Here is a 17,096-nt window from a genome sequence, read left to right as displayed (position 1 = left end):
CCAGCCCACAGCATCTGTTTTGTAGCAGTTCAAGATTATCATATAAACCTAACTAGATCTTCTCTTGTAAAGTGAAAATTTCAACAATTCAGATTCTTGGTTTGTAGATAATTTATAAGTTTTATTATCTGTTAGCTTCGAACTCTCATCCCCTAAAATGAAAAGAAGGAGGCCAGGCGTGGTAGCTCATGCCTGTAATCCCAGCACTTTGGGAGGCTGCGGCAGGTGGATCACCTGAGGTCAGGAGTTCGAGATCAGCTTGGCCAAAATGGCAAAACCGCGTCTCTACTAAAAATACAAAAATTAGCGGGGCGTGGTGGCACGCGCCTGTAATCTCAGCTACTCAGGAGGCTGGGGCAAGAGAATCACTTGAACCCGGGAGGTAGAGGATGCAGTGAGCCGAGATCTTGCCATTGCCCTCCAGCCTGGGCAAAAAGAGCAAAACTCCGTCTCAAAAAAAAAAAAAAAAAAAAAAAAACACCTGGAGGAAGAACATTCCAGGCATGAGGGAATAGCAAGTGCAAGCATATGCTTGGTATATTCAAAGAAGAGCAAGAAAATGAGGGCGGCAGTGGTAGCAGGAGATGAAGTCAAGAGAAGTAGAAAAGGTGTTCACTTCATCTGGCCTTTGTAAACCTCAGAACATGATATAAATCTTGGCTTCCACTCATGTGGATATTTACATTTAAATCAATTAAAATAAAATTTAAAATTCAGTGCCTCAGTTGCACTAGCCGGATCTGAAGTACTTAACAGACACATGGCCAGTGGCTACCATATTAGCACAGATTAGAGCACTTCCTTTTTTTATGTTTGTTTTGAGATAGAGTTTCACTCGTCACCCAGGCCGGAGTGCAGTGGCGTGATCTCGGCTCACTGCAACCTCCGCCTCCCAGGTTCAAGTGATTCTCCTGCCTCAGCCTCTCAAGTAGCTGGGATTATAGGCACTGGCCACCAAGCCTGGCTAATTTTTGTATTTTTAGTAGAGATGGGGTTTCACCACATTGGCCAGGCTGTTCTCGAACTCCTGACCTCAGGTGATCCACCCACCTTGGCCTCCCAAAGTGCTGGGATTACATGAGTGAGCCACCCTGTGCCTGGCCGAGCACTTCCATTTTTGCAGAAAGTTGTACTAGACAGCATTGTGAATTTTGAGCAGAAAAGTAAAATAATCTGACTTAGGTTTCGAAGAATCTCTGATCACTGTGTGGAAAACAGATGGTTGAGGGAAAAGCTAGGAGATAAAACAGGTAACTATTATAATCCAGGCAAGATGATGCTGGCTTAGACCACAGTGGTAGCCTAAGTGAAGGTGATAAAAATGATAGGATTATGGATATGCTTAAAGGTAGAGCCAGCAGGATTTGCTGATAGACTCAGTGTGTGATGTGGAAACAAGTAGTTATCCTTGACTCCAAAGTCTTTGGCTCAAGCAACTGAAAAGACTCAGAATCCTTTTACTGAGATATGAAGAACATGGAGCAACAGATTTGTGGGGGAGATTAGTAGTTTTGGACATGGTAAATAGACATGCCTTTTAAAGATCCAAATTCAGATGATATGTAAGCAGAGAGCCCAGGGTTCCAAAAAAAAAAGCATCAGCATAGAGAAAGTACCTAAAAGCTATGGGACTCTATAAAAACCCAAATAAGTGAGTATAGGTGGAAAAGTAAAACAAAGTGCCTTGGGGATGCTCCAACATTTCGGTATGATAAGAAGGAACCAGCAAAGATGACTGAAGGGGCAGCCAGTGAAATAGGAAGAGAACCAATAAGCAAGGGGGAGTAGTGTCCAGAAGGCCACAGTATTTCCAGAAGGAAAGAGTGAAAAGCTGTGGCAAATGCTAACAAACAAAGACTATATAAGATAAGGACTGAGAAGTGGCATTTGCATTTGGCCAAGCAAAGGTCATTGGTGAACTTGATGAGAGCACTTTCAAGTAAAAGGGCCTCCGTAGAGTGAACTAGAAACAGAAAGAGAAGCAGCAGGTCCTTCCAAGGAATTTTGCTATTACAGAGAAAGAAAAAAATGGAATAGTTGGAGAGGAAGAACGTGGTATCAGGAAGTTGGAGAGTAAGAATGTGGTGTCAAAAAACAAGATTATCGGCCGGGCGCAGTGGCTCACGCCTGTAATCCCAGCACTTTGGGAGGCCAAGGCGGGCGGATCACGAGGTCAGGAGATCGAGACCATCCTGGCTAACACGGTGAAACCCCATCTCTACTAAAAATAAAAAAAAATTAGCATGGTGGTGGGCGCCTGTAGTCCCAGCTACTGGGGAGGCTGAGGCAGGAGAATGGTGTGAACCCGGGAGGCGGAGCTTGCAGTGAGCCGAGATCATGTCACTGCACTCCAGCATGGGCGACAGAGCGAGACTCCGTCTCAAAAAAAAAAAAAAAAAGAAACAAGATTAGCTTAAGGTAGGATATATCACAGAATGTTTGATGATAGGAATGATCCAGCAAAGAAGGAAAATGATCCAACAGAGAAAGCAGAAAACTGCAGGAGCAATGACCTTGGCGGGGGAGACAGGATGAGTATACAAGTAACGGAGCTGGCCTCAGATGAGAGCACGTTATCAAAAGCAACAGAGGGACCTCAGAGTCTACATGAAATAAATTCACTCCAGCAGGTAGATTTGGTGCGGGGAAAAGTGGTATTCTCATCCGGCAGGTCTAAATAACTATGCACCTCACCAGAGTCACAGTTTTTCAGAGGAATGGGCTGTTTGTCATCTTTGGGTTCCTAGCACTAACAAGCTAGCTAAGTGAAGTTATTCAAAAGTTCTATTGAACAAATACATTCTTAGAACTACCTAACTACCCAGGGACCTCAGCTTAAGCCTTAACTCACCAAGGACTCACCAGTCAGTTCTCAATTGTGAACACTCAGCATTATAGAGAAGAAAAGGGATCACAGTTATGACCAACCACATCCCACCTTCCTTCCTCTCCCCACACTGGACTGCTCACGGATGGGGCAGGAGGGTTGTGTGCATTTCCAGCCTGCATGTACAGAAAGCACTTCCTGTCTAATATCCCAAAATGGTGACTACTCACTCCTATTTTAACTCACCTCTCAGACACTGCCCTGCTTTCTCAGAACACACTGACCAGGGCTGCTCTTTCTTAGAGCCCCCTTGCCTTTAAGCACACTGTAGAGTACCCTATCCACTGTGATCAAACCGGACTCCTGTGTGAGACTCCCTCCTAGGCCCCCAGACTTACAGACACCACAGACCCCTATTTACAAAAAGCCTTAAGAATCTGAACAGGTATTAAAATAAGAATGAGATTAGGAACTAAACATATAAAATGTAATTCAATTTCCTAAGCCCCTTCCTAAGAGTAAGGATATTGAAAACAAATCAAATGTGAAATATGAGTAGTAATGTTAAAAAAAAAAAAAAAAAGGAAACCAGCAGAATATTGCCAGCATAGCTGACATTCATTAAAGGGGCAAATCCAGATCCTGTAATCTGAATTACATCTGGTCTGTTTCCTATACTTACTTTCCTGACTTAAAATATTTTTAATAAAATAAATTTATGCTTATTAAATCTGCTGAAACTCGACAGATTAAAGATATCTTGAATCTCAAAAATTTTGTAAGTAGCAAAAATTGTTGAGAGGAGTGATTCTCTGCAAGAGCAGACTGAAACTAGTGGGGGGGGGCGCTTTTACTAACAAAAGTGTCTGATGAGATAAGATAATGCAATACATCTATTATATCTATTGTAACAATACCATTCATACTCCTATAGCTAAGACTCTTAGCATTTCCATTATAAAAACCTGTTTTTCAACTCTGCCACCTGCCATCCATTAAAAAAAAAAATAGTTCTCTCACAGCATTCAAGTGTTGATCCTGGAAACGTTCTACCACCACTCCCACTAAATGTTTTTGTTCCGTAGATTATCATGCAAATATTTCAAGTGTGTATTTTGTCTTTCCACATTGCACCAGTCTGATTCAAATATTAAGGTTTTCATCTGCAAGCCAAGATCACAGGAACATTCATTCCAGAAATACATCAATATGTACTGAAAGTCAATTTGGTAGAATCTTAGCAGTAATCAGAACATTACTCTTACATTCAAAGTAAGAGTTACAGATATTTATGATACTGAAGACATCAATACTGATTAAGTTTTCTTCATCTGACTCAAGAAGTAAAAGTCTAACAAGATACTATGAAAACAGAAATATGAAAATGAGGAATTGGGTAAAAAGAGTACACTTCACGGCAAGGCAAAGCAGTATGCAGTGGTGAATAGAACAGCATGAAAAACACTGGGTTAAATAGAACCTATCTACCAACTCCCCGCTAAGAGATGTTAGCTGGCAACTCAACAAATGCCCAAGTGTAAGGCAAAGTTTACTTTTCCCAAAAAAAATCCCTCAGAAAATAGGAAATTGTTTTCTATTTCTATTAATAAAGTCCATAGAAAGTCTTTCTTATTACCAGAACCTCTTTTTACTCTCTCCAGTCCTACTTTGAATAACAGAGTATCACTTGGAGAAGACATTACCCTAAGTAACAGGATCTGTGGAAGCTTAGAGAAGTCCCCCAGAAACAATCATCTGAATCAGTAAAAATTGCAGTAAAAGCTGCGATGAGATTTAACACAGATTTAACTCCTAGGGATATTGCCTCACATTGGCAAATATTGGATTTCATTGTAAACAAGCCTTGCAAAAATGACTTTTTTTAAGTATTATAATAAGTGCCTACACTACAGAGATCAACATACATGCTTCTACAGGAGGAAAAAGAAAACCAACTGATCTTTAATAATGAGAATGGAGGGGCTCCTGAGAGAAAATTTCCAGTGACCACAACGTAAATAGATTCAAAATAGGTTGGATTTCAGACAATTCAAATGGAACCGTAGAAAACTGTGTCAGACAACTCAAAAAGAGGTTCTAGAGAGGAAAAAAACCCTCATATGTCAAAGATGCATTTGAAGAGTTTAGATAAAATTGCTTCATGAAAAGCCAGGAGAGAAGAGTTACATTTGAAAATTATCTCATATAATGCTATTTTAAATATGTATGTATAACTTAAATAAATATACAGAAATTCATCTTCATCTCTAAAGTTTACATATTCAAGTTAGTCAAAACAATTTATTTAATATTCTCATTGGGAAAATGGAGGTGTCACATTATATTGTGACCATCTGTGTTTGCCACCTGAAATAATTGAAAAAATAAAGACAAGAATCAAATCTTTTCTATTTTTTAATTGTATCCCTCAGCACATAGCATATCTCACAGATACTCAAATATATTGGATAGTTAAGGAACATATTAAATTTTACTTCATATAAATGTAAAGGTCTCCATAAAATGTCTTATAAACAATTAAATTTTTGTGGGTTAGATACATAAATGAGGAAAATATTTGATCCTCAAATATCAATTATGAATTTTTATATGTTTACTTTTGAAAATACACTTATCTATACAACTTATACATATGCTTTATAAAGGGATTGGGGGCTTTCCAAATCCAGGGTCTACAAGACAGCATTGTATGTACCTTGTTCAGAACAATGCCTGGCACAGACTAAAAGCTAAGTAAGTTTTTGGCATTATCCTGAATTGCTAAAGCAAAAACTTGGGGTTAAGGGTTGTGACATAATTTATTGATTCATTGCAAAGGAAAAAAACCTGCAACTTCAAGACATTTATTATAAATTATAGATACGTAAAATCATACCAAAACTGGAGATTATATTTTAATGATTACTGCAGGCAGTTCATATTGGCTGTTAATCTCAAACTGCTCAGTTCTGAAGGCTACTAAAGAAGCCATCATTACTGACCCTTTTGCCTGTCACACTACTGGGGTCACTTTAACACTGACATTTCATAAAGAATGGCATTAAAAGTGAAAGTTAATGAAACTTGTGATAAAATAAAAATTTAATATAGCATATAAAATTTTTCTTCAAATATTTACCTAAAGTCTAACCAAAAAATTATATTTAGTTTGCCCCAAACATTAACAAGGAACTTAAAAGGATGAACACTTTGTAAGAATGAAAGACAGGACTTCATTTCTGGAGCCCCTACAGCATCTAACTCAGTATCTTTTACACTCTAAGTGTATATTGCATGGACTCTATGAAAATGACTCTTATGAAATTGAAAGCATTATAAGACTTCTTACCAAAAAACACAGTCAGCAAATTTTATGAGTTAGTAAATGGGAAAATCACTCCTTAACAAACAACATCCAATGCTCCACTTTAGTTGGAAGCAAAGAGATGATCTACTACATCAGGGATAACTGAGGCTCTGGAGGCCAAGCTACAAAAATATCGGGGCTTCTCTTGGAAAAATTAATAATGTATTTTAAGGTTTAAAAATTAAAAGTATCACGCCTGTTATCCCAGCACTTTGGGAGGCCAAGGTGGGCGGATCACCTGAGGTCGGGAGTTCGAAACCAGCCTGACCAACATGAAGAAACCCCATCTCTACTAAAAATACAAAATTAGCCGGGCGTGGTGGCGCATGCCTATAATCCCAGTTACTCAGGAGGATGAGGCAGGAGAATCGCTTGAACCCAGGAGATGGAGGTTGCAGTAAGCCGAGATCGCACCATTGCACTTCAGCCTGGGCAACAAAAGCGAAACTCCATCTAAAAAAAAAAAAGTAAAGTGCCAATGAAACCAACCTAACCATGAGTTGAAGGGAGAGACACAAGGGCTATGGCATGGTGATAAAAAGGAGAAAATAGTACCCAGAATGCTTTAACCCATAGCTAAGAAAGGTGATGGCCAAAAACCACCTTACTTATAACCTGGAGAGGGAAGTTTGGTAATTAAAAATAAAGGAACTTTATATTGAAAGACCAAACAGAAGTAAAAAGTAAGTGTTCCATGAAGGACACAGGGGCAGAAGTAACTCTGAAGCCCTGAGTCTAGAGAAGACTCACAGTCCAGCAAGGATGAGAAGTGGCCATAATAGTGCACCGACAGCACAGTCACTGATGCATCCTGAGACTCCCAAATGCAGAATGTCACAAGCAGACACGGGAGGACCTCTGCTAGGTTCACTCACTCACCAAATGACTAGAATCTGTATTCCAGCCTTCCAGCAGCTAACGCCTACACACATTATTTTTATTTAATTCTCAGAACCCCACAACTCTATGAAACTGATATTATTTTCATAACAAACTACTGAATGTCATGGACTTTCTGGGGGCTTGAAAATAATTGAAACCCCAAATGTTAGATTCACAAATGTCAACAACCTACTGCAGGTGTGCCCAATCTGAGTACCAGGACCTCATGTGGTAATAAAATACTTCCAATTGCCATTGCCTAATTCAAACATACGTACATTCACAGACCGTCCCTATGGTCTCTCACTCCCAGGGTCTACGACCAACTAGCCCAGAAACACCAATCTACTATAAATACAGCCTTGAATAAGCACAAAATTGGTTATGTAATTAGCTTTGCTGAGGCTTAAGGTACGTGCTCTACTGCTGCCAGATTTCAAATTATAAATCATCCCTTCCTACATATCCTTCCCTCCCCTACAAAAAACAGAACTATGCAATTTTAAGATCTATTTTGTGAATTATAGAAATTATCAAAGTCCCAGTTGCTACATCTGTTTTGATACTGTCAATCTTTACAAACCTTGAAATACTCAACCAGCATCATCCCTAGGATCAAGGACGAATGAGGAGCATGTTAGGGAGAGGGGAGGCTGAGGCACACGGTGCAGTGATTAAGAGCACGGGCTCTGAAATCAGACCAGCCAGGTTAGAATTCCAGCCCCACTTGCACTACCTATGTGACTCTGGTCCAGTTCTTTAACTTCGTATTACATCAGTATCCTCATGGGGAAAACAGGGACTAAAAAACAGAAAAAATTCCCACTTCACAGAGTTTTGAGAATTAATATACATAAAGCAATTAGGACAATGAACTGGCACCATAACAGGTATTACATATGTGCTGGTAAAACAAAAGCTATATGTAAAAACTCAAAACTAGGTTGATATAATTCTGAACAAAAATAAGGGCACTGATTACAAGCATCTTTGAGAGGCTAAGCACAATTTACATATGCTTTTTTTCAGGCATCCGTATTGTATGTAATATACTTTCATTCATGTATATTTTGCAACTTTCTTCTATGAAGAAAGGCAACTTTGCCGGGCTCAGTGGCTCACATCTGTAATCCCAGTGCTTTGGGAGGCTGAAGCAGGTGGATCACTTCAGGTCAGGAGTTCGAGACCAGCCAGGGCAACAAGTTGAACCCTGTCTCTACCAAAAAAATACAAAAATTAGCCAAGCATGGTGGTGCAGGCCCGTAATGCCAGCTACTCGGAAGGCTGAGCCAGGAGAATCGCTTGAACCCAGGAGGCAGAGGTTGCAGTGAGCCGAGATTGCGCTGCTGCACTCCAGCCTGGGCAACAGAGCGAGACTCTGTCTCAAAAGTTTCATCACAGATTGTATAAGACGAATCTAAACTAGCTACTGCACTTCTTTCTTTCCCACCCAGTAACTCTCTTCCATTGTCCTTTTACACTTTTCCTCCTGTTTCATGATTTAAGCTCATCGATGCCTGCCATAAACAATGCTTAGTACTTAGTCCTGAGAAAACAATCAGAATTTTATATCACAAGACAGTTTCTTTTGTCAAACACCAAGTCAACTTCTTCATCAGATGTCAATGCTTTCACCGAACATGTCTGCCGTAGAGAATTAAGTAAACAACTAAACAAACAATCACAAAACACAATTAAATAAGATAATGTGTGTAAAGCACTGAGCGTAGGGACTGGCACTCAATATATGTGAGTTGCTGTGGAAGTCTACTAACAATCCTCTTAAAAAAGCACTACTCAATCTCTCAACTTTAAGGTAAAAGTAAATTTGTATTTGATTGCTAGTATACACATTTCTGTTGCTAGAAGCAAATCGAATTTATACATGCAACAACATGGATGAATCCAAAAACAGTATCTTGAATAAAAGAAGCCAGACATAAAAGTACATACTATGAGTCCATTCATATGACTCCCAAGAACAAGTGAAATCAGAATCAGAAAGTGGCTGCTGCAGAGGGGAGGGGAAGGGAAAAGGAGGGTTGATGGGAGAGAGGTAGGAAAAATTTTTCTGGGGTGATGGAAATATCCCCTACCTTGTTTGGGGTAGTGTTTACATAGGTGCATAAATGGGAAAAAAAATTCACTCAACTGAATGCTTAAGATCTATGCATTTTATTGGATATAAATTATACCTGAATTTTTAAAAATTTAAAAAGCAAATGCATCAGTATCGATTTTTTGTAATTTAGAGTAGGAATGTTATACATACTTAGGTGGTTTAGGGGAAGGAAGGTTACAATAACTGCATAAGAAATATGGAGTCAGAGATTTATGACATATAGTCCAGGGAAGACAAATACATGTATTTGTTCTTTTTATTGTAACTACACCTAAGACTAAAACATTTTCCCCATCCATCTTCTTGACATCCATCTCCTATTGTCTCTCTGAGTTCTGATCACTGGCTCATTCTTCCACTCATCTTCCCTAGACTGTAGTCTGCTTATACCATGATACTAATAGAGTTAACAAAAAGAAAGGCTATGAATACCCAATCAAAACAGCAATGTTTTTATTAAATAGACCAGCAGCTGTGTGAGCAGAGACTTGTAAATGCATCTGTTCTACAGGATTTTATGTTTAATTCAATTTGTTCAAATCAGAGCACCAAGGCCCTGTAACTATGGGCTAGACAAGGAAATAGTTTTGCTAAACAGAATCCTACATTAACATGGTATTTTGAGAAAAGAATTGTACCTATTCATTCATTCAGTCATTCACACAACAAGCACTTACTGAGCACCTATTCCATTCTAGCTATTATGTACGGTACTGAAAATACAAAGATGAAGTACAGCCTGGTAGAGGTGACAGACATCTGAACAGATGGTTATAATACACTGGCAGGTTCAATAATACACTTAGGCCTGGGGTAGTACTATGAAAGCACAGAGCAAGGAAAGATTTCTTTTGAAGTCTGAAGCTTTTGTAGAGCAAAAAGGTACAAAGTGAAAATGAAAAATATACTCCCACCTAACCCCCGCCCCCTACATGGAGGGCTGCAGCTATATCAGTAATGTTTCATTTCTAAATCTGAGTAGGTGATATATAACTGGTCCTTATTCTCTTAATCCTTTTCTCTGTCAAATAGTTCATAATAAAATGTGTTAATACTGCCACCAGGTAGTACCTATAGACTCGGAAAGCCTTCCCCACTTACAGCTCTTTCTCTCACAACCGATCGCTTGCGGTCACCAAGGTTAGGTCGCCAACAACGAAGGGAAATGTGGAACAGAGACAGAAGTCCTCTTGTAATAGGAGTGTATGGAGGCCTGAAAAGGCAAAAGGAAATAGCCTACCAAGATTTCAAAATACACTACAAAAAAATTGTTAAATACAAAATGGGTATGGAGAACATATTTCAACCTCATTTTAGACATACACAGTAAAAAATTAAAATATATATATACCTGTGCCATATAGAGAAAATAAACATTATCACAAACAACTAATTCCATTCATTCTGACCACTGTTCTCTCAACAAACATTATTGAACACCTGCTCCACGCCACACACAGAGAAAAGCAAGCTCCTGCCTCCAAGGTGGCTACAGTCAAGTGGGAGGTGTCAGTCCTGTGAGCTGACTCCTAAAGTACAATAGGTAGGTTCTATGATAAGGACTAGCATAGAGTTTGCTACAAGGAACATGGGGAAACAGAAGGCGCTAAGCATTGCAAAATTTACCATCTTCACAGGTCACACAAATAAATGCATTACCCAGGAGTAAAAATGCTACAGAATAAAATGAAATGCTGAAAATGCAGAAGACTTGAAGTTAATAAAATAAGAATTGCTTTACCACAAAATCTCATAAAACTGTTGATTTTTATTATACTTCATACCTGATTTCAAAGAGCATAAAATTTTCAGTAATGATGAAACACCAATTGTTCTCCTATTCCATATCCAGGAGTCACGCCATCTTGCTAACACCTCCTCTTAATGGTTAAAAAGAAAAAGAAAATTGACAAAATTCTGGAACTTGTTTAAAAGATAGGTGTCACTATCATGCTGAAAATATCCTAGCTTAAGCCAAAATGACTGACAGAGACATGTGCTGGGGCCTCCAGGCAAAGGTAGACTTCTCATGACTGGAGTAACTGTGTAACATGTTTACATGTATGACATAACTCAGCTATTTATTCTTCTTTTACAGTTCTCACAGACACTAAATAAGATCTTTAAATCAGAGTTTTGGAATGTTCATTTTTCCATCCTCAAAACACTGTTTAATACAATATAAAAGATAAATTCCTTACATATATATGTCTATAGCTAAGTCAACTTAAGGTACTTTTGAGTCAATTAATTGACTTCCCTCTCCTTGTGATCGTATAGTTATGCTGTAAGAACAATGCTGCTCCTTACACACCTCCTCCTCTTAGCATTTGAGAGTTTAAAGGTAAGGGGCACGACAGATTTGTGATGTTTTGATAGAGTGTGTTGCCATGGAAATGACTGCCTTGTTCCTTACGAAGCATCATGACCTCCTTGCAAATGAAACAGGAAAAGGATGATTTCTGAGGATTCAACTGAAAGAAAAATTAATGGCTAGGGAAAAAAAGATCCAGAAACTAAGCAGACAATGTGAAAAATATTGCAATGTCAAGTGCTATACTGAAATATTTTCGAAGAACTTTTAAAAGCTATGACCTCCAAAATAGAAACCCTGTAATCAAAAAGATATAATATTAATGTGAAGATAAACCATAGAAATAACTTGGACCTGTGGTTTCTGAAAAAATATATTACAACCTCAATTCTGATAGATTATGAGAAAAATCATATGAATTTCTGTGGCTATGTTATAAAATTAAATGGATACTTTTTCCCTTCTAAAAGCAGTTTGCTTTCTTTTTTTTTTTTTTTTTTTTTGTGGTGCCCCTGTTTATACAGCTTATCCCTTATCACACTGACAAGACTGGGAACCACAGCAGATGGTCCCCGCAGACATAATTCTAACAGGTTTTTTGTGCAAACAAAAGATAAAGAAAGCTACAGCAATGATTTACTGATATCTAAAGTTGAAAACTGACAAAACACAAACTGCTTTTTTCTTACTGTTTGAACTGTTTATCCTTTAAACTACTAAATAAGATAGATATGGCCAAAATTAAATATGGTTTAAAAACTACAAAACCAAATACTCCAATCTTAACAGCCATTAAGTTCTGTCTTTGAGTTACCTAAATGTCCTAACTTTATTTTTTTTTAATTTTCACCATTGCCTTTGTCCCAGCAAAAGAAAGGATTTATAAATTTCTGCTTTATAAATCCTATTTAGTTATTATATTGTGAAATAAACTACTCATCTGGATTTTTCTTAAATGAGGAGGATGCATTTGAAATGAAAATTCCAAAATATTTTCCCAAGAAAAACTCACTAAAGAATGAATTAACTGAACTAAATCTGGAATCTTAGCTGCAAAGTCTATCCTATTTCAAAATAACCTACCATTTGAACATAACACACCACCAAATGGAAAATGTTCCCAAAATTACTCACCCTTCAAGATTAAAGAGTGTTTTCATACCATAAAACAGAAGCTATTTCATGACAATCTAACTGCAAAGAGAACTGTTTTTATGGTGTACCTGAAAATCCAGCAAGAGCCCCAAACAAAAATATATAATGAAACTGACAAGCATCTGAAATAAACTACCCAGACATCAAGCAAAAATACACCAGACAGACCCACAGGGCTCTTTTAATGTAGGTCATGATTGTCAGACCATAGCAAAAACATGGTGACCCTTGATAAAAATTAACCTTGATTATATGTAATCATGCACATATTTTGCCCTCAGTAAACAGTCCTCTAAAGTAAGTCCAAGGAGTGGATATCACAGTAAACTATGAACTACTTTTCACCAAAGAAAATGTCTGCCCATCATATTTCTATCAGTGGAGGTATAGGGGTACCTTCCATCATAATAGCTCAAGACATAAGGACCCTATACCATCTGAGCTAGGATTACATCCTTTTACTTTCTGAGAGGCTCTGTTTTATTGTGGAAAAATTATAAAAGGAAGCAAATTAAAATCAAATCAGGAATAATAGGCCCCATTATATCATCTATTTTATAGTTTATTTTTGTAGAAATCATTTGCAAAGTCTCTGACTAGGGGAGAGGTCCATATTAAAAAGCTTATTTTCCAATTAATCCAAGCTAATAAAACACTTTATGAAACAATCCATGAGGACAAAAATTCTCCATGCAGAATAATAACGAATATGTTCATATAATATAAACAATTTAGCCACAACTACTTAATTCAGGTAGTGACACCATAATACTAACCATATCAGTGTTGCAAATTTGAACCAGTATGAGCCAGCTAGTTATACTGCCTTCCACAGTCAAAATGCAGATGTTTGATTTTGCTAGCCAGCCATCACACAGGACAACTGAAAAACAGGACCAAGTGGCATACTCTGCTCAAATTAGTGCAAATCCATTACTACTGGAAGAGCAGTGGGTCAAAAAGCTCATCTCTGTACGGCATCCTTATTCAATAGGAACAATAGGTCTTCTCTGTACAATGCTTCCAAATCCAATCTAAAGTCACTGTATGGGTAAAGGACATATTTTTCTGATGTTAAGAACATCCAAAATTCAGAAAATGATAAATATATTAAGCATAATCTAACAGTTGTTATTTGATGTTCTACATCCTAAACCAAATACTATATTTATTTATGAACAGAAAATAAATTCTGTCAAATATAGAAGAAATCTAATTTTGACTTTTACAGTAAAAGTATGGCATCTACTTTAATTCTAAGACAACATATAAATCATCATGCTGATGTATCAGATACAATTTGAAATAAATGCAGCATACTTTCTTTGAACACATATTAGGTTCATTTCCATCTGCCATCTTTTTGGAGCATAAAAAACTCCTTAGCTGAAATATGTTTGCTAATAAATATAACTTGAGGTTTTTGTTGAAATTAAACTGCAAAAGTGTTATGAAAACTGTCATTTGCATACAACTCCAATCACCTACTATTCTCATTATGGTCACTATACTACATATTCTTAATACATAAATAACAAACACTGACCAGCAAGGTAAAATGACAACAACAACATTGAAATCCACAATGGAAATTTCCAATCTGAAAAAACAGATCTCAGATACTTTTTCAAAAAAGGCAAACAGGAAATGTGTAACAATGAGTTGCGCAACATGGTCCTTAAAATCCTGAACTTGCTAAATGTCATCATATTAGAAGGAGACTCTGGCTACAAGCTAATTTAATACTTAAATGTTAATATAATTTCCCCATTACTACATCTGCCATGAATGTTTTCTAACCAATAAAAGCAAGACTAGAAAATGGTATGTATGAGAGAAAAGGAAAATCAGCAATATCCTTGTTACATGTAGTCACAAACATACACTATATCTGGGCCTAGTTTTTTTCTTTTTTTAAACTACTACTATACTTTCAAAAATTGGTGATCATTTGAGCAGAAATAAAGTATGCAATTAGCTTGATTTTTTTTTTCCATCTAAAAATAATATAACTGAAATTAGACTACTATCTTGCCAGGCACATGAAGATTTTTAAGTATAATTTTGCTTAAAATATGCAGAGACTAAATCCTGAAATAAATTAACTTCTTTAGCCTCCACAAAACAAGGAACAAAAACAGCACTGGATAAATCTCGTTATAAGTACTGCAATGTGGACCCAATACATATGATAAATAAAGTATAAGAAAGCACTCAGCATTTCTATGTAAACTGCTTCTGAAGGATTATTATGGAATGCACACACTGGCTGAACTTAAAGTGTTTGGGTTTTAAACATTAATTTACTTTGACTATGTGCATGTCAAAATGAAAGATTGCTGTCTGGATCCAGACATGCCATATTAATATTGAACACAGGCATTCACTTCAGGTCAGTAGTCACTCCAAGTCGACTTCAGCAGGTGGTAAAAGTAATGTACTCATTAAAATGTATGTGTTACAAGGTTATCTCCCCAAAACAGCTCTCAAATACAGGTAGCCTTGAAACTTAAGCATTAGACAGGCTAGAACCAACCTCTAATTGTCACAAGTGTAGAGAAAATTGAACTTACTCTTGCTGCCTAATAACCAATGAATTTAGTTGCTTTCATGGGTATCTTGGGAGAAGTCAGAGATTTACATTCAATAAAGCTAACCTGGCTGCCTCCAACAGGGGTAAAGTGCTCTTGAACCAACCTGCATAGATTAGAATATCATTTTAGATCTAGAAGCCAAATAAGGGATTTTTCTTCATTTTGGATGCCTCACTGTATTTCTAAGTGAAATTTTACTCCTTTCATTTTTATTAACTCCATTCAAATTATTTTCCTCTTTTATGAGATAAAAATTTCAATTTTCCAGAATAAAGGCATAAATCTCAAGATAATAGGCCTGACTTATACCAAAGACATTTTTCTACCAAAAATTTTTTTTAAAATTACATCTGATCTTCAGCAAATACATCAAGATGGGTAACTATTCCCAAGAAGCTCAAATGCATTTTTTAAAATTACTCAACATCAAAGATAAATCTTTTCCATTTTATATCTGCTATACCTCAATTTAGACAAAATTACTCTCTAGCTCAGTCTAGAGAGTAATTTTGTCTCCCAAGTCAAATAATTTTCACTCCCAAGTCAGCCAATTAATTTACCACTAACTGATAAATCACTTTTTCATTTTAATAACATTTTTAATATATATAAACTATGTTTTTACAGGGTACTTTTCCCCCCAAAATGTCAATCCACTTCATCCATAAAAGCAGACAGAGTCCCCAAATTTGTAATTAAGCATTTCACATTGCTTCACTTCCTCATTATCCAACCAATTACTAGATAAGAGAACAGGGAGAAGGACAGGTCAGCAGAGATAGGGGAAAGAGAAGTCTTCTTACAAGGATAAGACTGCATCTGTCTTGTTCAACTGCTGAATACATAACACAACAGGCTTATGATGAATATCTAAGAATGAATGAATTTACAAAGAACCAGGGAACAGAGGAGTTCAACTTGCTTATTTTATATATGAATAAACTGAGGCTCAGGGAGATTACATGGCTTGACTAAGATCACAAGGTGAGTTGGTCAGCCTTGCACAGAGTAACTCAATAGATGCTCCTTTAAACATCGAGTTTTTTCTTATTCTCTCTTTCACCTATAGTACTTACTTCGTAACATCAATATAATTCTCTTTTTAGAGATTCACATAAGCTTCCCCTTCCAGAAATACAGGTAGAAGGTAATTCCTCCCCAGTGAGGGTGCTAACATTTCTGAAAATCCCCACAGCAGAATATATTTGGGGAGAATTTTTTAATCTAGTGGGAAGATAGGATAAGGAGACCAAAAGTAGAAAAATAAACTATAGAAGCCCCTATCAATAATCTATAACTTACCACAATAAAGATATTGCACTAAATGAAGAGACTATAAGGGTACATTTTACCCTTTTTTTTGTAATGATCAATACGGCACTTTTGGGGGTTCTCTAACCATCCCTTGATATCTAGGAATTCAGGATTTTCCTTCTACAGTTTCATTCAAAGGCTAGTAAATTTCTTTTAACTTGCAGCAGATAAAATGCATTCTAAAAAGCTGACCCAGTGCACACCTGTAATCCCAGCACTTTGGGAAGCCAAGGCAGTTGAATCACCTGAGGTCAGGAATTTGAGACCAGCCTGGCCAACACAGTGAAACTCTGTCTCTACTAAAAATTCAAAAATTAGCTGGCAGTGGTGGCAGATGCCTGTAGTCCTAGCTACTCGGGAGGCCAAGGCAAGAGAATCGCTTGAACCCAGGAGGCGGGGGTTGCAGTGAGCTGAGATCACGCCACTGCACTCCAGCCTAGGCGACAGAGTGAGACTTCGTCTCAAAAAAATAAATTAATTGGCAGGGCACAGTGGCTCACCCCTGTAATCCCAGCACTTTG

General features: G+C 37.3%; 1 protein-coding gene and 1 long non-coding RNA gene across 13 annotated transcripts in view, besides 1 other annotated feature; both read right to left on the bottom strand.

Annotated features, from left to right (window-relative positions):
* Positions 1-17,096, bottom strand: part of CDKAL1 (CDKAL1 threonylcarbamoyladenosine tRNA methylthiotransferase) — a 697,948-nt gene that overhangs the window by 644,948 nt on the left and 35,904 nt on the right. The gene's annotated exons all lie outside the window — the stretch shown is intronic.
* Positions 672-872: a silencer, noted in NCBI's record as "peak5719 fragment used in MPRA reporter construct". NCBI's record gives its function as "represses an SCP1 promoter by STARR-seq MPRAs in K562 erythroleukemia cells {active_cell/tissue: K562}" and the evidence as "EXISTENCE:reporter gene assay evidence [ECO:0000049][PMID:32103011]".
* Positions 10,947-13,653, bottom strand: LOC124901273 (uncharacterized). Its single transcript, XR_007059491.1, has 2 exons — positions 13,444-13,653; positions 10,947-11,078 (listed from the first exon to the last, which is right to left on the bottom strand). It is a non-coding gene; the product is annotated as an uncharacterized LOC124901273 (long non-coding RNA).

The sequence above is a fragment of the Homo sapiens genome, chromosome 6 (assembly GCF_000001405.40).
Source record: "Homo sapiens chromosome 6, GRCh38.p14 Primary Assembly".
NCBI classification, from domain to species: Eukaryota; Metazoa; Chordata; class Mammalia; order Primates; family Hominidae; genus Homo; species Homo sapiens.
This window is presented reverse-complemented; position numbering and strand designations above follow the sequence as displayed.